Source organism: Homo sapiens, chromosome 10 (assembly GCF_000001405.40).
Source record: "Homo sapiens chromosome 10, GRCh38.p14 Primary Assembly".
Taxonomy (NCBI): domain Eukaryota; kingdom Metazoa; phylum Chordata; class Mammalia; order Primates; family Hominidae; genus Homo; species Homo sapiens.
The window spans coordinates 101,019,843-101,045,680 of NC_000010.11; the positions used below are offsets into that span (position 1 = coordinate 101,019,843).

General features: G+C 53.1%; 2 protein-coding genes across 35 annotated transcripts in view, besides 1 other annotated feature; one reads left to right on the top strand and one right to left on the bottom strand.

Moving 5' to 3' along the window:
- The window catches only part of PDZD7 (PDZ domain containing 7), a 23,451-nt gene extending 12,164 nt beyond the window's left edge, over window positions 1–11,287 (bottom strand). For 12 of the 16 annotated variants that reach the window (XR_945816.4, NM_001437429.1, NM_001195263.2 and 9 more), the window contains exons 1-7: window positions 11,231–11,287; window positions 10,152–10,542; window positions 4,086–4,226; window positions 3,594–3,768; window positions 2,367–2,543; window positions 1,956–2,103; window positions 776–836 (exon numbers count right to left, since the gene is read on the bottom strand). Coding sequence is in view for 15 of the 16 variants with exons in the window: in NM_001437429.1 (NP_001424358.1) it covers window positions 776–836; window positions 1,956–2,103; window positions 2,367–2,543; window positions 3,594–3,768; window positions 4,086–4,226; window positions 10,152–10,377 (928 nt within the window). In the remaining variant the exon portion in view is untranslated. Of the gene's footprint in view, window positions 1–775; window positions 837–1,955; window positions 2,104–2,366; window positions 2,544–3,593; window positions 3,769–4,085; window positions 4,227–10,151; window positions 10,543–10,669 lie in introns of all 16 variants that reach the window. The other 4 variants (XM_011540177.4, XM_047425769.1, XM_047425771.1 and 1 more) reach the window with 2 other exon arrangements.
- SFXN3 (sideroflexin 3) lies at window positions 11,392–21,399 on the top strand. 19 transcript variants are annotated; one of them, NR_170876.1, is made up of 12 exons: window positions 11,392–11,907; window positions 12,472–12,640; window positions 14,850–15,013; window positions 15,655–15,825; window positions 16,102–16,259; window positions 16,644–16,719; window positions 16,881–16,966; window positions 17,234–17,361; window positions 17,540–17,589; window positions 18,801–18,850; window positions 19,333–19,380; window positions 19,647–21,399. NR_170876.1 is itself a non-coding variant. In NM_001388031.1 (12 exons), the coding sequence occupies exons 2-12, from the start codon at window positions 12,632–12,634 to the stop codon at window positions 19,741–19,743; spliced, it is 978 nt and encodes a 325-aa protein (NP_001374960.1). In that variant the 5' UTR covers window positions 11,392–12,100; window positions 12,472–12,631; the 3' UTR covers window positions 19,744–21,399. The 19 variants fall into 19 exon arrangements, 11 of the variants coding, with proteins under 11 accessions (NP_001374960.1, NP_001374959.1, NP_001374956.1 ...); NR_170877.1 differs by having other exon boundaries at window positions 11,392–11,872; NR_170878.1 differs by having other exon boundaries at window positions 11,392–11,692; window positions 16,825–16,966.
- Window positions 11,705–11,914: an enhancer, noted in NCBI's record as "active region_3906". NCBI's record gives its function as "activates an Ori minimal core promoter by ATAC-STARR-seq in GM12878 lymphoblastoid cells {active_cell/tissue: GM12878}" and the evidence as "EXISTENCE:reporter gene assay evidence [ECO:0000049][PMID:35858748]".
- Window positions 21,400–25,838: the final 4,439 nt, after the last annotated feature.

A 25,838-nucleotide genomic window follows, 5' to 3' on the forward strand; every position in this document is an offset into this window, starting at 1 on the left:
CTCGAGCACCTGACCTCAGGTGATCCACCCACCTCAGCCTCCCAAAGTTTTGGGATTATAGGCATAAGCCACCGCGCCAGGCTTTTTTTTTTTTTTGAGACAGGCTCTCACTGTGTCACCCAGGCTGGAGTGCAGTGGCACAATCACAGCTCCACAGCTCACCACAGCCTCAAACTCCTGGGCTCAGGCAATCTTCCCACCTCAGCCTCCCAAGTAGCACAGACCACAGGCCCTCACCACCACTCCAGTTAATTTTTAAATTATTATTATTATTATTATTATTTTGAGATGGAGTTTCACTCTTATTGCCCAGGCTGGAGTGCAATGGCATCTCTGCTCACTGCAACCTCTGCCTCCTGGGTTCAAGCAATTCTCCTGCCTCAGGCTCCCGAGTAGCTGGGATTACAGGCATGGGCCACCACGCCCAGCTACTTTGTATTTTTAGTAAAGACTGGGTTTCTCCATGTTGGTCAGGCTGGTCTCGAACTCCCAACCTCAGGTGATCCGCCCACCTCAGCCTCCCAAAGTGCTGGGATTATAGGCGTGAGCCATCGCGGCCGGCTTAAATTATTATTTGTAGAGACGAGGTCTACCTATATGGCCAAGACTGGTCTTGAACTCCTGTACTCAAGCGATCCTCCCACCTCAGCCTCCCAAAATGCTGGGATTACAGGTGTAAGCCACCAAGCCTGGCCCTTTTCTTCTTCAGAGAGCCGGGCCCCACCCTAAGGCCTCAGCCCTTTCCCTCCAACCTTGGGAGATCTGAGCCACTTACGTCGGTCCAGCCAGCAGTACTCAGAAACCATCTCCTTGTAGGCAGGATACCGGCCGGTCTCCTGGGGAGGGGATGGTGGGCATAGGAGGGAAGGGGGAGCAGTGAGGAGGGAGAGTGAGAATGGGGCGGGGGTGACAGGATGGGAGTAAACTTTCAACTTCATTTCTGTCCTCCAAATTCATCATGCTCTGGCCGCACAGGCCACTTTCTTTCTGAACGTGCCAAGTTCCTTTTTGCACTTGCTGTTCACTCTGCCTGGAGGCAGCCCTGACCCTGAGATACAGGGGCCTTCCTGAATTACTCCATTCCATCTCTCTGTTAATTTCCTTAGAGCATTTGTCACTATCTGCAAGCATCTAGTTTATTGGTCTGTCTCCCTCCAGTAGCAGAGAACTTATCTGTCCTGTTCACTGTTGCAGCCCCAGTACCTGGCACAGTGGCCGGCACATAGTGGGTGCTCAAAAATATTGTTGAATGAATGAGGGGCAGAGTGGGAGTGAGGAAAGATGTTTGGGATAATCTGAGAGGAAGGAAAAGGAAAAATGGGATGGGGGAGAGGTAGAAATTGGCGGGGGAAGGCGGCAGAGGAGGCACCCAGTGAAGCCTTCACCCCAAGTGAAGGCTTAGGGAAGCAGAAAGGTAGAGCAGGGGCCAGGGCTGGGCACCAGGGGAGAGTGAGGTGGCATCCTCCAGGAGCCGGAATGAGAAGACCTGATCCTCAGACAAGTGTGAGACCCACATGAATAATGAATCCAGCCACCTCCCGTGAAATCCAACCTCTGGCCCCAGCCCAGCCCTCCTAGCTGTATGCCCTGGGGATGCCCATCACCCAGGTCCTGTCCAAACCGCAGCCACCACCCCTCCCTTCTGGGCAAGACATTTGTTCCTTTCAACCCTAGGCCTCCACCCTTCATAAGAAGGGGGCACCACTCTAGCACTGTGGGGAGCAGGACTGGAACCAAGCCCAGCCACTGACCAGCTGAGTAAGTGACCTGTTCGTGAGTTGCTGTGCCTCTCTAAACCTGTTTCTTCTTCTTCAAAACAGGGATGAGAACAATGCCTGTCTACCTTCTAGTGGCTGTGGGAACGTCATAAATTGCAGAGCATTATTAAGAACTAGGGTGGTCTGGGAAGCCCCTACTCTAGCCTCACCTCTCCCTACCCCCACTGTTCTGCCCACCTTGATGGTCAGCATGATGTGCGTTTGGCCCTTCAGCACCTCCACGGCCTGGCTGTGGCTGATGTCGTCAAACCTGACACCGTTGGCTGCCAGGACCTGGTCCCCCACCTTGATGCCATTCTCCTCGGCCAGCCCACCATGGTCCACTCTGAGGCCAGACAGGCGTCAGTCTGATAGGCCCCTGGCCTGCCCTCCGTTACCCCACTCCAGACCCCCTTCTCTTGGACACAAGACTGCACCAGTCAAGGTCCTTGACCCTCCTACTGGGGCCTCCCGCCCCCTCCCAGGCCCTCACTGAGACAGGTGGTTGGCCAGGCCTCACTTGCTGACCATCCCCACATCCCAGCCTAGGCCCCACTCCAGACCCCATTCTCAGTTCTACCCGAAGACACTTCCTGCCTCAGCCCTCACTTGGACACATAGATGCCCAGGCCAAACTCCTTGCCCCCACGGATGTTGAAGCCCAGGCAGAAGTCGTCGGAGGTTGTGTATAGGTGGACGATGCGCCGGACACCATCTTCTGAGCTGGTGTCGGAGGGTGTTGAACCGCACTTCTCCACTACCAGGCGCCGATTCACCACATCCACCCTGGACAACAGCAGGGGGCCCTCAGGTGGGGTCCTCCATCCACTGCCACCCACCACCCTCCCAGCAGTTCTGACAACTGCAGGGAAAGTGGGGGTTGCCTTTGGGGGACTCCCCAGGCCTGAGACCTGCAGTGGGGCATAGGTTCATTAGCTGGGAAACCAGCCTAATTGCCTCTTTTTATTGAGCAGCTGCAATGTGCCAGGACCATTCCTTTTTTTTTTTTTTTTGAGACAGGGTCTTGCTCTGTCCACCCATGCTGGAGTGCAGTGGTGTGATCATGGCTCACTGCAGCCTCAACCTCCTGGGCTCAAGCAGTCCTTCCACCTCAGCCTCTTGAATGGCTGGGACTACAGGTACATGCCCACCATGCCCAGTTTTTTTGTTTTTGTTTTGTTTTGTTTTTTGAGATGGAGTTTCACTCCTGCTGCCCAGGCTAGAGTGCAATGGTATGATCTCGGCTCACTGCAACTTCCGCCTCCCAGGTTCAAGTGATTCTCCTGCCTCAACCTCTCAAGTAGCTGGGATTACAGGCATGCTCCACCACGCTCGGTTAATTTTTTATTTTTAGTACAGACGGGGTTTCTCCATGTTGGTCAGGCTGGTCTTGAACTCCCAACCTCAGGTGATCCACCTGCCTCAGCCTCCCAAAGTGCTGGGATTACAGGCTTGAGCCACCATGCCCGGCTTTTTTTTTTTTTTTTTTTTTTTTTTTAGAGAAGGGGTCTTGCTATGTTGCCCAGGCTAGGCCCCATTTCTAATCCTTACAGCACCCCTGTAGAGAGGTGGTGTTTTGCCTCTGGGTTTCACAGCAGGAGCAGCGGCAATGTGGCAGCAGAACCACTGGGATCTGGGAGAGCAGAGCTATTGGAGGAGGGCAGGGGAAAGATGCAGCCTCTCCTTATTTTGAGGTCAGGCCTTTGGATCCCCTGCGTTTCCTGAGCCAGCGAGCAGGAGGAACAGAAGCCTCTCCTGCCAGTGGGTTTTGGGTGTTGGTAGGGTTGGGGTGGGCTGGGGCAAGGCCAGGGCTAGGATGAGGGAGTTGCTGCTCACCACGTGGTCTTCTCCTTGGAGAACTTGATGCCCGGCACACGGCCCATGCGCCGAACCATCATGTGCAGGCGGCTGCTGCTGGTCAGCACCTTTACGGCGCTACCCATGGTGGTGCTCTCCAGGCTCAGCCCATTCACCTCCGTGATCTTGTCCCCCACGCACAGGCCAGCCCGCTCTGCACCACAGGATGGGAGTGGCTGGCATGGGTCCCCAGGGTGGGGCTGAGCCTCCCCCATCAGATGGAGCTCCCTGGGGTCAAACTGAGCTTCTCAATCAGAGTGAGGATTGTCAGAGCAGGGGCTGAGTGTTCCCAGTGCCTAGGGATCTGTCCCTTAAACCATTCTGACTTGAGGGTTGGCCCTGTCTCCCCATCAATCAGGCCCTCCAGAGCTGGGGACTCTTCCGTCTGTCCCTGACAGCAGCATCCCCTGCCATTCACTGAGATTGGAGTCACATCCTAAGCGTGGACTTCAGCCTGGGGGTTCTGCTTACCTGCACTGCTGCCTTCCTCCACTTTGCTGACGAAGATGCCCAGGCCATGCTCTGAGCCCCCGCGCACGCTGAAGCCCAGCCTCCCTGCTGGACTCTTCTCCACCCGGACTGAATGGATGATGTCACTTTCATCACTGTTGGCTGTGAGGACAGGGATTTAGGGATGCCCCCATGTTCATTGTGGGCACAGAGGGCCCCTGGGTTCCCCAACTTGGGGCCTGCAAAGGCTAGGTTGCTGGGCACAGTCACACAGGCACGTAGGGGCCTAAATGCAGTGGGGCAGGTCAGCCCATTTCTAAGGCCCCTCTGGGTGATTTTTATGTTATTTTTTAAAGAAACAGGGTCTTGCTCTGTCATCCAGGCTGGAGTGCAGTGGTGTGATCATGGCTCACTGCAGCCACAAACTCCTGGGCTCAAGTAACCCTCCTGCCTCAGCCTTCCAAGTAGCTAGGACTACAGGCACACACCACTGTGCCTGGATTAATTTTAAATTTTTTGTAGAGGCAGGGTCTCACTTTGTTGCCCAGACTGGCCCAAATCCCTGGCCTCAAGCAATTCTCCCACCTTGGCCTTCCAAAGTGTTGGGATTATAGGTATGAGCCGCATATCCTGCCCGCTCTGAGTGATTTTGAGACCATGGGCCAGGAAGGTGTGAAAGAAGGTGAGATCAGCGGGACAGGACTCTATGCTAAAGACACCATTCTCTAGCCAGGTGTAGTGGTGTATGCCTGTGGTCCCAGCTACACGGAAGGCTGAGGCAGGAGCCCAGGAGGTCGAGGCTGCAGTGACCTGTGTTCACACCACTGCACTCCAGCCTGGGTGACAGAGTGAGACCCCTGTCTCAAAAAAAAAAAAAAAGAAAGAAAGAAAAAGAAAAAAAAAGATACTGTTCTCCTTCCTTCCTAATATGTGTGTGTGTGTGTGTGTGTGTGTGTGTATCAGTGCTTTCTGAGCTTCACATGCCCATGGGCCTGGGGTAAGCCAAATTAATAAACAATTCTGATACTCCCAGGGTCAGATGGACAGACAAGAAGGTTCAGGATTCTGTTCTATGGGGGATGGTTGAGGGTGTCTGGCTTCATCAGCTTGCAGCATAAATTAGTATATTAGCTCTATCTTCAAATGCTTGTAGAGCTACCCTGTGGAAGGCATTAGATGTTTTCATCTGTGTAAACAGAACCTGCCTGCAGTACTCTTGCTCACACAGTGGAATTAGACAGAGGCAGATTTTGTAAGGAAAAACTTTCTAAAACATTCTGCTGTTGGAAATAGAATGGGTTTTCTTTCTTTTTTTTCCCCCGAGACAAAGTCTTGCTCTGTCGCTGAGGCTAGAGTGCAGTGATGCAATCTCGGTTCACTGCAACTTCGGCCTCCCAGGTTTAAGTGATTCTCCTGCCTCAGCCTCCCAAGTAGCTGGGATTACAGGCGTGTGCCACCACACCCGGCTAATTTTTGTATTTTTAGTAGAGATGGAGTTTCACCATATTGGCCAGGCTGGTCTTGAACTCCTGACCTCGTGATCCACCTGCCTTGGCCTCCCAAAGCATTGGGATTACAGGAGTGAGCCACCACCCCAGCCTTGAAATGGAAGGGATTTTATTTATTTATTTATTTATTTATTTATTTATTTATTTATCTGAGACAGAGTCTCGCTCTGTCGCCCAGGCTGGACTGCAGTGGTGCGATCTCAGCTCACTGCAAGCTCCACCTCCCAGGTTCACGCTATTCTCCTGCCTCAGCCTCCCGAGTAGCTGGGACTACAGGCGCCCACCACCACGCCCGGCTAATTTTTTGTATTTTTAGTAGAGACGGGGTTTCACCGTGTTGGCCAGGATTGTTTTGATCTCCTGACCTCGTGATCTGCCCGCCTTGGCCTCCTAAAGTGCTGAGATTACAGGCGTGAGCCACCACACCCGGCCAATGGAAGAGATTTTCTAAGACAGATAGTAAGCCTCCCATCTTTGGAGGCATGCAAGCTGGGACCCAGCAAATCTCTGTCTGGGATGTTATGGAATCCCTGAGGGTCCTCCCATCTGTTAGACTCTGTGATTCTGGAAGTCAGAGTTCTAGGAACTACCTGGCTACAAAGGGAAAGAAACCCCAGACCACACCACACTGCAATACGTATGTGCCCAAGGCGGCCCTCTCCATCACGCTGGGGAAAGTAGGCGGGGAAGGGGGTTCCTAAAGGTTGAACCTGTCGGGGAAGAATTTTTTTTTTTTTTGAGACGGAATCTCGCTTCTTCTCCCAGGCTGGAGTGCAATGGCTCAATCTTGGCTCACTGCAACCTCCACCTCCTGGGTTCAAGCGATTCTCCTGCCTCAGCCTCCCTAGTAGCTGGGATTACTGGCATGTGCCACCATGCCGGGCAAATTTTTGTACTTTTAGTAGAGACAGGGTTTCACCATGTTGGCCAGGCTGGTCTCGAACTCCTAACCTCAAGTGATCCACCTGCCTCGGCCTCCCAAAATGCTGGGATTACAGGTGTGAGCCACCTTGCCCAGGCCAGGTAAGGTTTCTGTAAGGACTCTGATGGGTGGGATTTTGATGGGTGGGGGGTAAGGGGGGGCACTGATGAGGGGGAAAGAGCCAGGGAGGCTCAGCTGTGGGCCCTTGAGGAGGCCTTCCAGTTACAGAAAAGCAAGAAGGCTGGAGGGGTAAGTTGGGTCCCAGGTGAGAAGCTGAGATTTCTTCATAGGTAAGGGTTACTCTAGAGGTGTTTGACAGGGAGAAATCACACACACACACACACACACACACACACACACACACACACACACACACTTCAATTTGATCTAAGAGAAGTCAGGTTACAGGGCACGGCCAGGGCAGCTCAGAAAGAAATCCCCGAGGGCAGCCTGGGGGGAGGGGTGGTGCAGGACAGATGTGGGGGGCCAGGGCTTTCCCAGCTGATTAGATTACACAGATCTCAGGACACTTTCAGCCTTAGCCAAGGAGCCTTTTACTCCCTTGCTACCAACCCTCTCTCCTCAGGGCCTCACTGGGGCCTCCCTAGGGCCCTAGGTCAGGGAATGTGAAATCTGAGATTTTCCAGGAGCCTGAGCCCTGCAAGGATGGAATCTTCTCTACCTCCACTGCCCCAGCCTCTCCCCCAGGTGCTCCACTGCAGCCCCGGCACTATCCTTGCTTCCACTCTTGCCGCCTTTAGCTATTCTCTATACAGTACCCAGAGTCAGCTTTTACATTAGCTCATGTCTTTTCCCTGATTAAAAACTTCAACACCTGTTCCTGCTTCTAGAACTCCAGTCTCCTCACCATGCCCTATAAGGCCCTGCCTGGGCTTTCCTCTGCCCACCCCTCCGCCCTCCCCTCCACCCTCCCCTCCCTCACTGAGCTCTGGCCACACTGATCTTCCTGTTCCTCATGGAGGCCAAGCCCTTCCAGTGTTCCCTCTGCCTGCAGTGCTCCTGCCCAGGCCTTTAGAAGGTCAGCTCCTCTTCCTCGTTCCCCTCCTGGCTCAGACACCACTTTCTTGGAGAAGGCTTCCTGGAGTGTCCTCCCTTCCTCCCAGTGAGTACCTCTTGTAGGGCTTCTCAAAGCGTAATCCTGGATCAGCAGCGTCAGTGTCATCTGAGAACTTGCTAAAAACGGGAATTCCTTCGCTTTACCACAGACCCACTGGACCAGAAGCTCTGGGACTGAGCCCTGCAATCTATCCCTGAATGAGCCTTCCCGGCAATTCTGAGGCATCTGAGGTTTGAGAAGCACCATTCTATCATGTCATCAGATGATCACATTCTGACTCTTCCCATCCTTTGTCGTCGTTCGCTTATTTGTGATTTATCTGTCTCTTTTCACTAGACCATAAGTTCAATCATGGTGGGGACTTCGTAATACTCTTCTAGTATATCTCCAATATGTTGGACAGTGCTTGGTATTTGATAGGTATTTTTTTTGAATAAGTGAAAGAATAAATGGATGGATGGATGGTCAAACTAGGAGAGTGAGGAGAAATGCATTAAGGGTAATGCTTTCCTGGATTAAAGGTAATGCATTTTCTCTGGGACCAGTTGAATTTAAGGAGCTGGTGGGATCTCATGGGGCCGATGTAGGTGGCAATGTCACCGTTTATTCCTTATCAGTTACTTTACTCCCCGGGAGTGATCTAAATAATAACATGGGGCAGGGTTCCAGGCTGCGGTGACTTGGGAGATACCTGTTCTCAGGCAGAGGGGAGAATTCTGAGCTCAGAGGGTCCCAGTCCAGTCAGAGGAGAAGCCAAGTGGTCAGAGCAACTCCTCAGTCCCTCACTGCTAGGAGATGCTGCTTCCTTGGCTGCACAGTGGCGCTAGCATGAGGCAGAGGGAGAAAGCAATCATGAAACCCCTGGAAGAGGATCTTTAGAGGGACAGTATAGGCCAGGCATGGTGGCTCATGCCTATAATCCCAGCACTTTGGGAGGCTGAGGCCGGAAGATCACTTGAGCCTAGGAGTTCAAGACCAGCCTGGGCAACATGGTGAAACTCTGTCTCTACAAAAAATAAAATAAAATAAAATTAGCTGGGCTTGGTGTTGCATGCCTATAGTTCTGGCTACTCAGGAGGCTGAGGCTGGAGGATCACTTGAGCCCAGAAGTTTGAGGCTGCAGTGAGCTATGATCACACCACTGCACTTCAGCTTGGGTGAGCGACAGAGCAAGACCCTTTCCCTCTTAAAAAAAAAAAAAAAGACGTTATAAACAGCGCTTGCATCATACATGGGCAAAGGGAAGGGGAGAGAGAGAGAAACAGAAAGAGTGTATCAGAGGGAGTATAGCATAGTTCTTTTAATAGAATGGGACTAATAAAGACAGTTATGCGGTGCCTGCTTCCCTTTTCCCCAATGTCTCCTAACTCCTCTGGGGACTTCTGCTCCCTCACCAGAATGACCGTGGTGACCCTCAGCAGTGCCCTGTGCTCACCAGAGGGTGAAGCATAGACTGGTGTATGACAGGGGTGAGCGTGCCAGGGCACTGGTGGAGGAAAGCCTGCTCCCTGAGCAACATGCCCCACCCTGCTCCAGTGGCCTAGGGAGGGGAAGAGAGATGCCCTGCTGGGTCAGAGGGGGAGGAGCAGGGCCTGAACAGTCCAGTCTGGGATCCAGCCAGGGGAGCTCTGCTGGCTAAGAAAGAGGAGAGGAGCTGGAGATATTTATCTGGTCCTGCTCACAGAAAGCTCAGACTCAGGGGGCCTGGCTCCGCACCTGGCATTCTAGGTCCTGTCTTGCTCATCAGCTGTTAGTCACCTCACATCTGTCACTACAGCCAGGCTGGCTCCTAAGTGCCCACCTACCATGCTCCATGCTTTTCACTTCCAGCCTTTGTTGGTGACAGCTCACCCCTGCCACCAGCTGTTCTTATTGCTCTGTCCTGCTACACTGTAGATTCCTGGAAGGTGAAGAGGGAGCCTGATTTCTCTCTAGGTCCCTTGTAACACCTCCCCAGGGCTGGTATAGAATTGTGCTCCATGAAGCGGCATTAAGCAACTACATAAGCTTAGGTCTCCCCTTCCCTGATGGAGCTCCCTCTCCACCCTCAACCCTCCTCTTCTGAACATTTGCTGTGCTGCCTTCATTCCCCTCCTTCAGCACGGAAGCCCTGAATTCTGTCTACCCGCTTGGGCACTGACTCCTCGCAGCCCAGCACAGAGCTTGTCACACAATGGACTGGTTGATGGAGGATGTCCTTCTTTATCCTGCCCCATCCCCCAGAAGTACACACAATGGATCTGGAGAAGGGCAGAGCCCATGGGAGAGAGGCCAGTTCAATCCCCTGCCTTGTCCACCAGGGGCTAGCATACCACACGCATGCCTGTCCCTGCTGCCATGGCCTTCTTTCCCTCCTCTGACCCTTCTACGACCCTGGACCCCTGCAGGATTGGCCTGGAGGAGAGGCCAAGGGCAGGTGAGGAAGAGTGTATGGGTTCCCAGGCGGCCTGCCACCTCCCTGTGACTCCCATCTCTTGAATTCCCCCAATCATACTGGCTCTGCCTCCTCCTGCTGAGTTCCCATTGTCCCCTACCCCCACCCTCCCCAACCCAGGCCAGTGGCTGGGTCCCGCCCCTACCTTCGATGGGGGAGTTGATGAGGATGACGCGTCCCATGGGCGATGAGGCTCGGATTCCGCGGGGGGGCCCGTTCAGCAGCCGTTGTTGCTTCCTTAGCAGGTATCGCGTTGCGGTGGAGCCTGAGTCGCTGCCTAGGTGGCCTCGGGAGGAGAGGGAGCTCAGAGAGCCGGAGCTCAGGTCTCCTAGGCCCAGTGGGTCGAAGCCCACTGCGAAACCCTGCGCCATGGCGGCTGGGCTAGGGCGGCACCCTACAGGTCCAGAAGGAATCTGCTAGCTCTGGAGAGGCCAGCCCTGCGTGCTTCGAGCTCCATGAGCCTCTGTGCGGGGCTGGGGTCTCAGTAACGTGAAGGCCCTCGCTTGCGATGCCTCTCAGAAGTGTGAGCTCCAGGCCTGGGCAGGGAGAGCAGGGATGAGGGAGGGGTGTAAATGTTTCCCCTGCTGCCCCCTAAAACTTCCACCCCTCCCCCTGGTTTAAGCATCCTGCCCTCCCATGCCTTAGGCCCCCCTCCTGTCTCACCCTAGGCCAGAGAACTGCCCCGTCCAGGCACCATCTTGGACTCTCGCTGACTTTATACAAGGCAGGTGGGAACCTTTCACCCCTCATTCCTGCTCGGGGCTGAGTCATCTACTCCCGTCCCCAGTCCTCAGTAGAGGTTGAGAGTGGAGTTGGGATTACTGCGGGCCCTGGGGCTTAGAGAGGTGTGAGACAAAAGAGAGGTCAGGACAGCTCATGGCATCACCTCTCTCATGCATATGCGGGCATGGAGGTGGCCCGGGGTGGGGCGGGGGCTGCGTGGGGCGGGCTGGGCCTCGAGGATAGGGCTTCAGGACCTTAGACAGCTGAGGCCCAGGAAGACCCCCAGACACCCGCGGGCTCCAGGCTGCGGCTCCGGGTCTAAAGAGGCTGCATGAACCTCTCCCAAGCTTTGGGGAGGATCTGCTGGAGAGGGGTCCCACGACATCCCGCGCAAAACCCAGGGCCAGTTCCCTCAGAGAAGCTCTGGGACCTAGAATGAAGCACCCCAACATCAACTCGGCCCTCCAGGCCCCCCACCCCTTTGTGCCTGGTCGGCCTCACCTGGTCGCTGGTGTGGCGCCGCCAGCCTTGTCAAACCACCCGCAGGCGAGAGCTACTGCCGCAGCCGGCAAACCCCACCCACGCTGCGCGGAGGCTGCGGGAATTGGGCTGGCCTGCACCGCCCCGGGCTCCCATTGGCTGGTAGGGCCGCCAGTCATTCTATTCCGGCACCTCCCTTAGGCGCCAGGGACAGCCGAGCGTTACCTGGTCCCGGGCAGCGGAGTTCTTTACCCACCCCAGTTCTGGTTCTGACGCCCTAGCTCATTCCGCAAATTTAGGGCTTGGGTCTGGCTTGTTCCCCTCCGGCTCGAACCACCTCTTCTCTGAGCCGAGCCAGCTACCGGGGCTCCTGGAATTGCCACCCCTCCCTGGGCACCCTTGAGGCCTCCGTGGAGGGACGTCACGGGGCAGAGCGGGACGTGAGCCTGAGTTTGCTGCAGGCGTGCTCTGTGTGGTGGCTGGGTGAGTTGTGAGTATGTGCGTGGCGGAGGGGGTGCCTTCTTCACTTGCATCCTCCTCCTCTGTCAGAAGGCGTCTCTGGCTACCCAGTTCTGGAATGGTCGCAGGGTGGGGCAGCTGGTCCCAGGACCGGAAGAATCCTAAGAATCCTTCTGATGCACTTGCTCGGATGCAGACCGCGAGGTTCCTGGGGTCGTCTGCCCCTCCACATCTCAGGGGTGGGGCTACGGTCTGGGGTGCAGGGCTAGGGGTTGGGAGCGTAAGGAGACCAGGGACACAGTGGAGCTAGGGGTTACAGAGGGGGAGCAGGGAGAGGGCTGGGGACATAGAAGAGGCACAGGCACGACAGGAACGGGGCTGTGAAGTGATGCGAATGCCGCGCTGCTACAAGAGGAGCTTGTGGATACTGGGGTAGGAGCCCAGGGGGACAAGCAAGCCAAAGGCCATTGCCAAGGCAGCCATCAAGTAAACAAGCCAGGCGGTAACCCGAGTCCCTCCCGGCGCGCCAGCAGAGGACCGCCCCTCCACACCGCCCACCTGCGCCCGGGGCTTTCTCTCTGGGCACCTAGACCGCTTGCTGCAGGGCTGGGGGTCTGCTGAGGCCCGCCAGGGGACTGTAAACCAAGGGAGCAGCGCCCGCGGCTCCAGCCCCTCCTCCCTTTGGCTGGGGAGGGGGCCAGAACTGATCCCCGAGGTGGGATTGGCTCTGGGAAGCAGCTTAGGGCCTGGTCCAGGTGGCCCAGGCTGGGGGCATCGCCTCGAATGACACCCACCGCCCTCAGGTTCTGCCAATCCCCGTGCCCACCGGGTGGGCGCGGCCGGGAAGCTCCTGCCCCTCCCTGCTGGTCGGCGTCACGCGTGACGTCCCGCGTGATGGCTGGGAGGGCCCGGCGGCGACAGCGGAGGCAGAGAGGAAGGCGGTTCTGAGAGCTTCAGAGAGCGATGGAAAGCGTAAGTGCTCGCTCTCCCCGGCGGGCGGGGTTCTGGAATGGGGGTCAGAGAAGGAGGCCTGCCTTGAAACTGTCTGTCCTGGTGCAGTCAATGTCCTCGGCTCTGTGGAGGTCCAAGTCCACAGGGCACAAGGGAGGTTGGGGGGAGGAATGTCAGGGTGGGGCTGTGTGTAGTCACACATTCAAGTGTCTGCAGATGGGCACAGTGTGCGCCTGTAAAGGTGTTTGAAGGCCGGTGTATACAGGACACCTCCACTCTGTCTGTATGTCTGGGCAGGGTGTGCATGATAGTGTCTTTGTGTGTGGGTATGTGAGTGTGAGGGGAGGGCGTCTCTGCCTCTGCGGGAGGAAGTGTGGCTGGAGAGGATTAGTCATTCTGTAGGATTCTGCCCAACTCAGCCAGATGGCTGCACCAGGCTTTCCTCTCTGTGCTGGGTGGAGGGAGCAGCCACTGAATCCTGCTCTTATCCGGAGGCAAGTGGCCCAGAGAGAGGTGGATGAGTGTCTGTGCCAGCCCTGCCTGGCCAGGGACCAGGGAGAGCCTGGGGTCATTCAGTGTGAGTTGGAGAAAAATGGGTCTGTAGAGAGGACTTGTGCGTGCCCACATGCACACACATGGCTGACATCAGAGTCCCCTGATTGAGATCTGGAACAGATAAGCCCTGGGTGGCCAGTAAGGCCTTGCTCTCCTCCAATCAGGGACTGGAGTGTGGGATGTCTTGTGCCATTTTCCAAAACAGCCTTGGGGGTTTGTATCCAGGTCTCAGTGCAGCTGGGGCCTAAAGCTCACCTGAGCATGGGTGTGTAATATATATATTATATATTCTTGTGCATCTGTAGCACACGTGGCTGGGATGTTTGTTGCTGCTTATGTGTCAACCACATATATGTAAATCCTCACTCATGAAAATCTGTACCAGGATAGAGCACAAGGAGATCTGTTTTCCTGTTTCTGGTCTTCCCTTCCCCCTCCTCCAGTGGCTGCAGGTCCCTGGGCTGGGACATTGCCCAGGAAACAGCTCCTCCCCACACCCTTGCTTACCTACCTAGTTGAAGGGGTGGCCTGCCCCTCCACACCTGTGGGTATTTCTAGTAGGGTGGGACAAGAGACTGAGAAAAGAAATAAGACACAGAGACAAAGTATAGAGAAACAACAGTGGGCCCAGGGGACCGGCGTTCAGCATACCAAGGATCTGCACCGGCACCGGTCTCTGAGTTCCCTCAGTTTTTATTGATTATTATTTTCATTATTTCAGCAAAAAGGAATGTAGTAGTAGAGCAGGTTGATAATAAGGAGAAGGTCAGCAAAAAACATGTGAGCAAAAGAATCTATGTCATAATTAGGTTCAAGGGAAGGTACTATGCCTAGATGTGCATGTAAGCCAGATTTATGTTTCTCTCCACCCAAACATCTCAGCGGAGTAAAGAATAACAAGGCAGCATTACTGCAAACATATCTCACCTCCCACCATAGGGCGGTTTTTCTCCTATCTCAGAATTGAACAAATGTGCAATCGCGTTTTATATGGAGACATTCAGTTCCCAGGGGCAAGCAGGAGACAGTGGCCTTCCTCTATCTCAACTGCAAGAGGCTTTCCTCTTTTACTAATCCACCTCAGCACAGACCCTTTATGGGTGTCAAGCTGGGGGACGGTCAGGTCTTTCTCATCCCACGAGGCCATATTTCAGACTATGCATGGGAAGAAACCTTGGACGATACCCCGCTTTCAAGGGCAGAAGTCCCTGTGGCTTTCCGCAGTTAATTGTGCCCCTGGTTTATTGAGACTAGAGAATGGCAATGACTTTTACCAAGTATACTGCTTGTAAACATTTTGTTAACAAGGCACGTCCTGCACATCCCTAGATCCCTTAAACCTTGATTTTATACAACACATGTTTTTGTGAGCTCCAGATTGGGTCAAAGTGCTGGGGCAAAGTGGCTGGGGCAAAGCTACAAATTAACAACATCTCAGCAAAGCAATTGTTTAAAGTACAGGTCTTTTTCAAAATGGAGTCTCTTATGTCTTTCCTTTCTACATAGACACAGTAACAGTCTGATCTCTCTTTCTTTTCCCTACATCTAGTCACCTTGAGCTCTTGAAGGGACTGATGATAAGCTCAGGGGCCAGGGCAGGGGCACCAAAGATTTCCCCTAGCTGGAGCCCTTGGACCCTTGGACTCCCGCTCTGACCCTTATCTCTGTCCTGCAGAAAATGGGTGAATTGCCTTTAGACATCAACATCCAGGAACCTCGCTGGGACCAAAGTACTTTCCTGGGCAGAGCCCGGCACTTTTTCACTGTTACTGATCCTCGAAATCTGCTGCTGTCCGGGGCACAGCTGGAAGCTTCTCGGAACATCGTGCAGAACTACAGGTGACCACCCCTCAATCTGACCCTGTGTGCCAGGATCTCATTTTCTGTGATTAATATAATATGTTTTGTACCTGCCTCCTCAAGCTTGACAGTGACCCTGTCCCTCAATCCCCTCACTCTCTAGCCCCGTCTGTTGGCATCACAGAGCTTTAACCCAAAGGATTTTAGGGCATTTGGGTTGAGAAGATGGCATTGATATTTATGGGAGGGGCTGCTCTATGCATCACAAACCTCTACAGGGATCTATCCCATTGCGGGGTCACCCTCTGCAAGGATAGAGGTGCTCAAAGTGGAGTCCCAGGAAGATAGGAGGGAAATCCCCTTATCTTTGGGAGGAAAAACTCTTGCAATGCTTGCAGCCATTTTTGACCCACTGGAAACCACCATCATCCCTGACCCAGCATTTTGGCAGAAACAGAAGGGTACCCCTCTTTGTGTGGCTATAAGGGAAATAGAAATAGGAGCCTCCACTTCTGGGAAACTTTGGCCCTCTCCCAAAGATAAGGAGCTTCCTTATGCTGAGACTGGGGGCTGAAGTTCCTGGTTCTCTGTCCAGAGTTACCCTGAGCTGGGCAGGTGGGGCCTGTGAGGGCAGATCTGCCCCCTGGCATAGCCTGTCTGCTCCTTGCCAACTTCTGCAGGGCCGGCGTGGTGACCCCAGGGATCACCGAGGACCAGCTGTGGAGGGCCAAGTATGTGTATGACTCCGCCTTCCATCCGGACACAGGGGAGAAGGTGGTCCTGATTGGCCGCATGTCAGCCCAGGTGCCCATGAACATGACCATCACTGGCTGCATGCTCACATTCTACAGGCAGGTCTTGTCCCACGTCCCCTTCTTCAGTGCCCTAAGCTAGAGCATAGCTTGACTAGGTGCGCTTCTTGTCTGGGCCAACTGGGTGAGTGAAAGATTGTGTCAGAATCGCTTCCATTCCTCAGAATTCAGCCTCAGGAGGTCTCTCACCCCAGAGACAGTAGGTGTGTTTGTATAAATGGGGGTGGGGGTACATAGGGGTTACCAGAACAGGTTCTAGGGCCATTAACTGGGTCCCTTCTTAGGCTTGGGGAATAACCTTTGGTTTCATTACAGGGGTCTAAAGATGAGGGCCACTGTAGACGGGGCAGAAGTGAGTGTCTTTGTTCCCTCAGGAAGACCCCAACCGTGGTGTTCTGGCAGTGGGTGAATCAGTCCTTCAATGCCATTGTTAACTACTCCAACCGCAGTGGTGACACTCCCATCACTGTGAGGTGAGAGCCAGCCCCCAGCAGCAGCTGCACTGTCCCATCTGACCCTCTCCTCCCAGCCTGCAGTGCCCTCTCCTTTCTCTCCGGTTCCCTGTGGACCATGCAGCCAGTGCTCAGCGCCCTCTCCTCAGCCTGCCCCACCCCGAATTACCCTGCCTAACTGAAGGCATGAGGTCCTCTTATGTATGCTGTGGGGGACCCACCCCTCTTCACAGGGTGCTACTGGGGCTTCTAGACAAGTTTACGCCGGAGATGGAGGGAAGGCTTCTTCTGCAAGGAGCTTCCCCTTTTATGCCTCATGTATTGAGGACTTGGCATATCCCTAAAGGAAAGGGCCACCTGCTGGACTTGTCACCTCTCCCCGTGACCTGGCTTTTCCACCCACAGGCAGCTGGGGACAGCCTATGTGAGTGCCACCACTGGAGCTGTGGCCACGGCCCTGGGACTCAAATCCCTCACCAAGGTAAAGGCCCCTCACTCCCCTGACCACCCCATTCATCCTCTATCTGCCTCCTTCTTCCTCATCACACCTCCAGTTCTGACCTATATGCCCCCTATATCTCCCCAGAGTCCCTCACCACCCCATGGCCCTTAGGGCCACTGAACAACACCCTTCCTCCCCAGCACCTGCCCCCCTTGGTCGGCAGATTTGTGCCCTTTGCAGCAGTGGCAGCTGCCAACTGCATCAACATCCCCCTGATGAGGCAGAGGTGAGTGACCCCGGCTCCTGGCATGTGCATGCCCAGAATGTAGCACACTGTCCATCCACGCAGACCACCTCAGAATGGGGACATCCCTCTCCCTCCCCAGACATGAGCTGCTGGGCCCTGGCTCAGTCTGACCCTGGGATCCTCAGGTGGGAGAACCAGCCTTTGAGCCTGGGGTGTGTGAGGGGACCCTGAGGAGCCGCTGCTCATTCGGGCATTGCAGGTGGGATCCGGGGCCTGTGATCTGACCCCAACCCCCCTCCCTTGCAGAGAGCTGCAGGTGGGCATCCCGGTGGCTGATGAGGCAGGTCAGAGGCTTGGCTACTCGGTGACTGCAGCCAAGCAGGGAATCTTCCAGGTGGTGATTTCAAGAATCTGCATGGCGATTCCTGCCATGGGTAAGGCGGGAGTGGCTGGGTGGGGCATAGGAGACTCTGAGAGAAGCAGGTGCAGTTCTCAGGGACTTTGGAGGACTCTGGGGAGAGAGGGAGGAGCTTTGAGGGGGGTCACCCTTCACAGTTCCTGACTTTAACTCCACTACTAATGTTCTCCTTCTTGGCCCTGCTCTCCCCACAGCCATCCCACCACTGATCATGGACACTCTGGAGAAGAAAGACTTCCTGAAGGTAGGCGACTGTACCTCTCTTGTCCTGGAATGGGCGATGGCTGGGAGAAGTGACCAGGCCCCAACTCTCTCTCCAGCCTCGCCTGATTCTCTAAGACTTGCCAGCCCTTCTCCTGACCCCTGCACCGCCTCCTCCACCTTCGTTCATTCAGCAAGAATGAACTGGGCTGGGGTGAAGGAACTCTGCAGGGGCAGGAGGAGAGGACAAAGGAAGGAAACCAACTTCATCAGTGTTACTCCAGTGGCTTCTGACACACAGAAGGGGACTGTCATAGTCATGCTTGATCTCATGCTCATTCTTTTACCCCCTAGTGCCTCCATACTGAGAGGTACACACGGGTGAACACGCACACACAGACATGAACAGGACACGAAAGCAAAGCACAGGAACAAGCTCTGGCTCATTCACAGAATCATTTATTCACAAATGTATTGAGTGCCATGCACCAGGCATGTTTTAGGGCTGAGGAGATGGCACTGAACACAATGGTTATGGCCCCTGTCCTCATGAAGTTTATAGTCTGATGCAGAAACCAATAAACAAGGAGGCACCCAATAAATACATTCTTAGAAAGTGTAATATGTGCTTTGTAGGAAAGCAATGGGGGTAGTGTAATTGAGATTCATGGGGGAGAGCTGTTTAGATAGGATGATCAGAGAAGGGGTCTTTAATGCCGCAAAGGATGAGGAGAGAGCCAAATAACGCAGAGAAGAGTGTTTGGGGTACAGAAAACAGTCAGTGCAAGGGCACTGCAGTAGGAGGGGCTTGCACATTTGAGGAACAGGTTGGTGGTCCCTGTGGCCAGAGCAAATTGAGAAGAGTGCCGAGGAAGAGATGTGCTTGGAAAGGGTCAGATTCATGCCACTGGGATGGGAAGAGGTAAGTGGAGGTTCACAGGAGGTTTCCTGAAGAAATCAGCTCCTGGAGGAAGTGAGGGAAGAAAAAAAAGGGCCAGGGAGTGCCATGGCAACCAATTCTGAGAGGTGAGAGGTCATGGGATGCCGGGGAGGGTGATCAGCAGACAGGCCTGGCTGGAGTGGAAGGGCGTGATCTGGAGGTCCCAGCCCTGTCATTGCCTTGGGAGAAAGAAAACGGCCACAGGTCTAAGGGCTCCAAGGCAAGGCTGATGGGATAGAGCTATGGTGGGTGAAATGGGGTGACAGTGAGGCAGGGGACACAAGCCGTTCCATTGTCTTTCTGTCTCTCCACAGCGCCGCCCCTGGCTGGGGGCACCCCTGCAGGTGGGACTGGTGGGCTTCTGGTAAGTGTGCAAGGAGTTAGCTGGGGTGTGTGGGAGTGCCTTGTCCATGGTGGATGTGGGTGGGTATGGATTGTCTTTAAGATGTTTATAGACATCATCCATTCATACATTCAGTGGGTGTGTGTTTGGAACAACTATAGGGTCTACTTTGTGTGTTACGGGGTGGTCCCTGTCCTTGAAGGTCAAGATCCTAGTGAGGGGGTTCCAGTCTTCATCTATAAGAGGAAACCATGGAAATGTACCTTTTGGTGCCATCCAGGAGATTCATGCCCATTTAATTCCTGATTCTGCCACTTACTGGTTGTGGGGCTCTCTTTCCTCAGAACCTGATGTCCAGGTTGGGTTTACTATTCCTAAAAGGTCCTTTCAGCTTTTATCAATCTCCACCCCTAGGGCCTATCTCCAAGGATGGGGTGGGGTGCAGGGAGGGAACACCCTAAGGCCAAAGCTTTACAAACCTTTCCAACACTTGTCTCCCCCAGCCTGGTATTTGCAACCCCCCTGTGCTGTGCCCTATTCCCCCAGAAGAGGTAAGTGCTGTCCCTGGGCTGGGTGGGGGACTCTGGATTGGACTCTGCATCTCTGGACCAGCTGACCTAGGGTCTTCCAGGGTGTTCAGGAGGAGGCCTGGCAGGCACTCCACTGATTCTGGGAGTGGGGGAATGACAGTGAGCCAGTCCTTCTGGCAGTAGAAGGAGAGGATTTTTCAGCCTGGGAGGAGGTGGGATGGCAATCCCTGGGCCTGAGTGGGGTTGGATTCAGGGGACGTTAACTGGCCTGTGCTGTTCTATTGCAGCTCCATACACATAAGCAACCTGGAACCAGAGCTGAGAGCTCAGATCCATGAGCAAAACCCCAGCGTTGAAGTGGTCTACTACAACAAGGGGCTTTGAGGAGGGTCAGCCTCTGTCCCCTCCCTCACTTCCTTGGGCTGCTGCTTTAGTGGAGTCATGTCACCCCTACCACTTGGCTATCTGCCTAGCACTGGGCAGGGGCCTTGGTGGGCAGATGGCAATTGAGGGTAGCAACCTATTAGGGTGGGGGAGGGACCTCCATAAGGCTTTTCCTCCCTTCTCTGGTTTCAAAGATCAGAGCACATAACCCCTCCTGTGCTTGAGTGTCCATGCATATACATACATGATACACATGTGTATGTGTACATTGGGTCCTGAAAGCTAGAAGCAGGCATGCTAGCCTAGTATGTTCTGACATCTGGCTTCCCTTCTCAGCCTCATGTCCACCTGCCTGCCAGCCAGGCTACAGGTGTGACTTCCTTCTCTAAACTGTTACACCAGCCAAGTTATTTTTGATGGCACCTCATCCCTTCTAGAAATAGGAGGAGCCCCAGGATCTCAGGACAGAGACTTATAGACACTAGTAGGACAAAGCGGGCTGAATCCTTCAGGTTTCTGATACCTAGCTCCCCAAGCTGACTGGGCTGGCAGAGGAGAACATGTTGAGACAAGGGAGGCAGGGGACTTATGCATCCCTCAGTGCCATCCCTTGTATCCTGGAATAGCTCCATTTCCCCTCCTCCTCTCTACCAGACAAAGGAGTGCCTGTGTCCTGTACTGCCCTCGCTGTCTCCCCCACCACCCTACTTGACAGCGTGGGCATCTTCAGGCACAGCCTTGGGAGTTCCTGGTGTGCTCTGACATCATGACCTCAAATCTAAATCCTCCAATCCCAACTCCCTTTCCCAAACAAAAAGCCACAGAGGCAGAGCAAGCATTCCCCTTTAAGAGCTTCCACTGCACCCCCTCCCAAGGGACACAGCGGTAGGAATGGTGCTTAAACTCCACAGGTATCAGAGAGGGTGTAACTAGGACATCCTCAAGGGCAGCTAGGCCCCGAATGTACAATGTTAAGACAGGGAATTTTGTGTTCCATTGACTTTTTTTTTTTTTTTTAATGGAGTTTCACTATTTTGCCCAGGCTGGAGTGCGATGGTGCGATCTTGGCTCACTGCAACCTCTGCCTCCTGGGTTCAAGTGATTCTCTTGCCTCAGTCTCCCGAGTAGTGGAAATTACAGGTGTGTGCTACCACATCTTGCTAGTTTTGTATTTTTAGCAGAGATGGGGGTTTCACCATGTTGGCCAGGCTAGTCTCGAACTCCTGACCTCAGGTGATCCACCTGCCTTGGCCTCCCAAAGCACTGGGATTACAAGCATGAGCCACTGTGCCCAGCCTGTTCCACTGACATTTCTTAGACATTCAGCAAAACCCCCACCTTAACCTCTTTTCTTTCTTGAGGGTTGGTCCTGTCCCCACCTCCACCCTCCCACCCCCTGGAAGAGGAAGGGCCCGGGCATCAGTGGCTAGTCCAAATAAAATATGGGCTTGGGGATGGAATGGGTGGTGGTAAGTTCACAGAGTGTAGTTAGATCCCAACTCCCATGACCTCTGGCTTCAGTGGTGGGTGGGGCAGGGCAGATGAAAGGGCTTCAGTGGGAACCTCTGAGAGCATTTTCCTGTTCCCCCTATCAACCGCCCCCAGTGATAACATCTGTGAAGCCAGCCATTACTCAATAAACTGCAAACTTGTCTACTTCTTGGTCTTCACTTGATTCCACGTCCTGAGGGCCCAGAAAGAGTCCCCTGCTTGCAGCCTTCCGTCTCTCCCTGGACTCTCCCCAAGTCCAGGTCTTGTCTCATTCCTCCCCCTGTGTAGGGAGCCTCATGCCCCAGCAGAGGGAGCTCTGAGATTAGAAAATCAGTCCTCCCTCTGGCACCCCCAAGTATGTACTAAGACAGAGGGCGAATGTAGATGCTTTCACCTTTTTTTTTTTCCTTTTCTTTTCTTTCTTTCTGTTTTTTTTTTTTTTTTTTTTTTTTGCGACAGGGTTTCACTCTATCACCCAGGCTGGAGTGCAGTGGCACCATCATGGATCACAGCTCACTGCAGCCTCAACCTCACCAGTTCAATTGATCCGCCTGCCTCAGCCTACCAAGTAGCTGAGACTACAGGCACGTGCCACCACACCCAGCTAATCTTCTGTATTTTTTTATAGAGATGGTTTTTGCCAAGTTGCCCAGGCTGGTCTCCAATTCCTGGGCTCAAGCCATCCACCTGCCTTGGCCTCCCAAAGTGCTGGGATTACAGGCGTGAGCCACCGTGCCCGGCCTAGATAACCAGTTTTAATTTCATCCTGTCCTGTCAATCACCAAGCCCACTGGAATCCTTAGTCAACTCTTAAAGCTCTTTCTGCAGTTACACTTTTGGCCTTTGGCAATCCCCTTGAAAAGAGGCCTTGTATTGCCAAAAACTGCAATCACTTTTGCACCAACCTAATACTTTTACTGGAAAATCTATGTAACATAACCCCATGTGGGGAGTGAGGTACAGAAATCTCTGCAAAACAAAACCCTTAAGAACATTTTATAACAGAATTATCTGTGCTCCACAGGTATCACTAAACCATGTCAGAGAAAAGATTGGCCAGGGCACTAGTGGGCTTCTCTGTCATCTTTCCTTCCTAATTCCACACCAGTTTCTCAAACACGTCAAAAGAGTTAGCTATAGGGCACATCACAGGCTCTCTAGGGACAAACCTTAGCCAATCATACCTTCCAAACTGCCTCCTTATACTTGGAAATTTCCTCAGAAGTCAGCATTTGGGCTGACGCAGCACGTTTTTCACTAGAAAGTGCTCTGCCCCATTCTTGGGTGGGCCTCCTGTCTTCCTCCCAGACCTCAGACTTTAGGAACTTTCTCTGGAAGCCTGAATTGGTGTCTTTGACCTTCCCTCCCATCTTCTTCCCCTTGCCTGGCCTCATTTGCTCCAGAGCCCCCATCCTGCCTATTATGAAGACCCGAAAGACCACAACCTTCCCTCTCTCCCTGCCCATGTTTTAAGTTTAGCCTGGCCATAGGGAGGTGGTCAAGTAGGGATATTCTGCTCCTTTCCAGGATCACCGGAACCAATGACACCTGCTTCCTAAGGACAGGTAATCAGGACCAGCTTCAACTCTGGCACTGTGGGGCTATGCCAGACTCTGGCCTAGTCCTGCTGGGTCTGATGCCCTACAGGTCAGAGCCAAGCCCCATTTCCTCCCAGTGAAGCCTGTCCATTTCAAGCCCCGCCCCCGGGCCCTCGCGGTCAAAAGTAAGCCACCACCTTCTGGGAACAGTCAGAAGCAGAGTCCCGCCCCTGCTGTGGTCCCTGTCAGTCAAAGCTAGGCTCGGCTCCGCCTCCTTCCCGTTTCCCGAGCAACGGCTTTAGTACCTCAGGCCCCGATTCTCGCTCACCTTCCGGGTCGGAGCCTGGAAGCTACGTCTCAGATCCGCCTTCCCGCTGACCTCGATCCTGCGCCGTTAAATCCACCAAGTCCCCCTCCCTCCTTTCCAATATCGAAACCCACGAATTCCCTAGCGCCAGCCCTTTGACTTCCTGCCCAAAAATCCGCGAGGTTTTCGAGGAATCACGCGAGGACTCTCCTCCTGGATCCCAAGCCCAGGTTTTTTTTTCAGCTGCCTCTGAGGCTGTTGGCTCTTTCTTCGGCGCCGTCCTCCTCCTTTCCCTCTCTCCACCCTTGCGCCTAACAGTCCAGGAAACGTTTGCTGAACTCTTAATTGTGGCTCTGTGGCCGGCGCTGGGTAGAAATGGGCGGTTGGGTGAACAGAGAAGCTACCCTCTCACCTGCAGGGACACCGCGCGTGCCCGAAAGGCATGAAGGACAACCTTTTGCTAGGAATTGTGGAGGAATCTTGATTCAGCTGTATTATCCCCAAAAGGGGAGTTTCCTAAGATGCTCCCTTCTCTCTTCTTTTATTATACACATCTTTTCCCTCATTGGGTCTCTCCTAGGCTCCAGTGTCAGCTCAGGCTGCCAGACAAAGGCAGCCTCCGCTCCAGGCCACAGCCTCCCATAGCTTCCTCCTTCCTGTCTTCTCAGACCAGCAATGTTTGCAACTAAATAACGACCTGGAGAAGGCAGGAGGAACCTTGCATAGCTTGGACTACACACACAATCCCACATCCAACACATCCAGTAGGAAAATAACCCCATGCCTTTAATAAAGAAACGAGAAGCTCCTTCAGGCTGAAGTGCTTGCTTATGGGGCAAGAGTTTGCTATGTTAACCTATAAATTAACCAGCTATGTTATTTTCCTTCCGACCTCTCCTCCTCTATCACCAGCAAGTCCTCATCAATTGACAATTTTTATTTCCCAAAAGGAACACTTTGGTTTGGGTTTTGAGATTATTTTGTTGAAACCAACAGAAAATAATTGTGGCTAGCTTCAGTAAATAGGGGGAGATATTGGAAGGATTCTGCTATAGTTTTCATACCCAGAGATGGAGGTGAACAATAGGACTGGAAAGGACAAAGCCAACTTTGGGGGTGTCAGCAGCTGGAGTTTATGGGCATGGCAATCCCCTTGAAAAGAGGCCTTGTATTGCCAAAAACTGCAATCACTTTTGCACCAACCTAACACTTTTACTGGAAAATCTATGTAACATAACCCCATCTGGGAAGTGAGGTACAGAAATCTCTGCGAAACAAAACCCTTAAGAACATTGTATAACAGAATTATCCCTGCTTACTCCAAGTTTCAAAAACTGGAGCAGCTTAGATCAGTTGTGTACCCCTAGGAGGTGGCCAGGGGTCAGGGTCAACAGGCAAGGACATTGGACATTCAGGTTTACCTCTGACGTTGAGGCTGTAACCAAAGAAGGGCAATTGCTGTGAACTGGGAATCACCCTGATTGGTATTTACTACAACATGTACTACTGGCCCTATACAGATGTTTCTTTCCAGTTTAAATGAAAGCCCCACTGAGGGCAGGCACCATATCTTCACTTTAAAATTGTAGTAAAAAACACATAACATGAAATGTACCATCTTAGCCATTTTTAAGTGTACAATAATGTTAACTATATTCACATTGTTGGCTGGGCATGGTGGCTCACACCTGTCATCCTAGCATTTTGGGAGGCCAAGGCAGGAGGAGCCCTTAAGCCCAGGAGTTTGAGACCAGCCTGGGCAATATAGGGAGACACTGTCTCAAAAAAAAATTTACATATATATATATATATATATATATATATATATATATATATATATACACACACACATATATATATTTTCACATTGTTGTGAAACAGGCTCCAGAACTTTCTCTTGCAATTCTGAAACTATATACCCATTAAACACCAATTCATATATTTACTTTTAAATGCCCACAGCATCTACAATAGTGCCTGATCCACAGTAGGTACTCAATACTTATTTGCTCAATAAATAAATGAGGAATCCAAATGTGCCCTAATTCCCACCCATATATTGATCTCAGGTAAGGTCACAAACACAGTGGTTCTCAATCTGTTTTATACCTCAACAAACGTAAAAATGTGACACCTTCAAAACAAATGATGGCTCACAGCTTTAGTGATTTTCAGCCTGGAGGATGGGGAAGGATGTCCTCCCAGGGAGTCATATCAGAATCTTGGGGGTAGCATGCCTTGAAAAATCCCCTGAGGAAGTGACGCTTGCCCCCTAGTTATTATAGTCAGCAAGATGAAGGAAGAACTCAGCTCCTCCCTCCCTCTTCTCTTGTCTCTTCAGGAGTTTCCAATGCAGAGAATGGGGTGTTGGAGAGAGTGTCTCATGTGTAATCAGAGCCACTCTCTCCAAGTCTGTTGTTTATCTGTTTCCCTGCACAAGCCAATGCCTAGTTCCTTTGGCAGTTCCCTGTGGGGCTGACCTACCCTTCACATCTGCAGCTTCTTGGGGCTGGCACCAAGCTGCTATCGCTTAAGGCAGGCTGGAAGGGAGACAACTTCACCGTACTGTTGTCCAGTTCCTAGAGAGTGGTCCCACAGCTGTGTTGCTTGGCCTTAGTGATATAGGATTTCATTTTCATGACCTTCTTTCCAAGGCACCAAGGCACAGTGGGGTGGGATGGTGATGCTGGTCAGTGACGGTATCAGGTAAAACATCACCCTGCACTCTACCTGGCAGCATTACTTTCTAAATTCTCAAG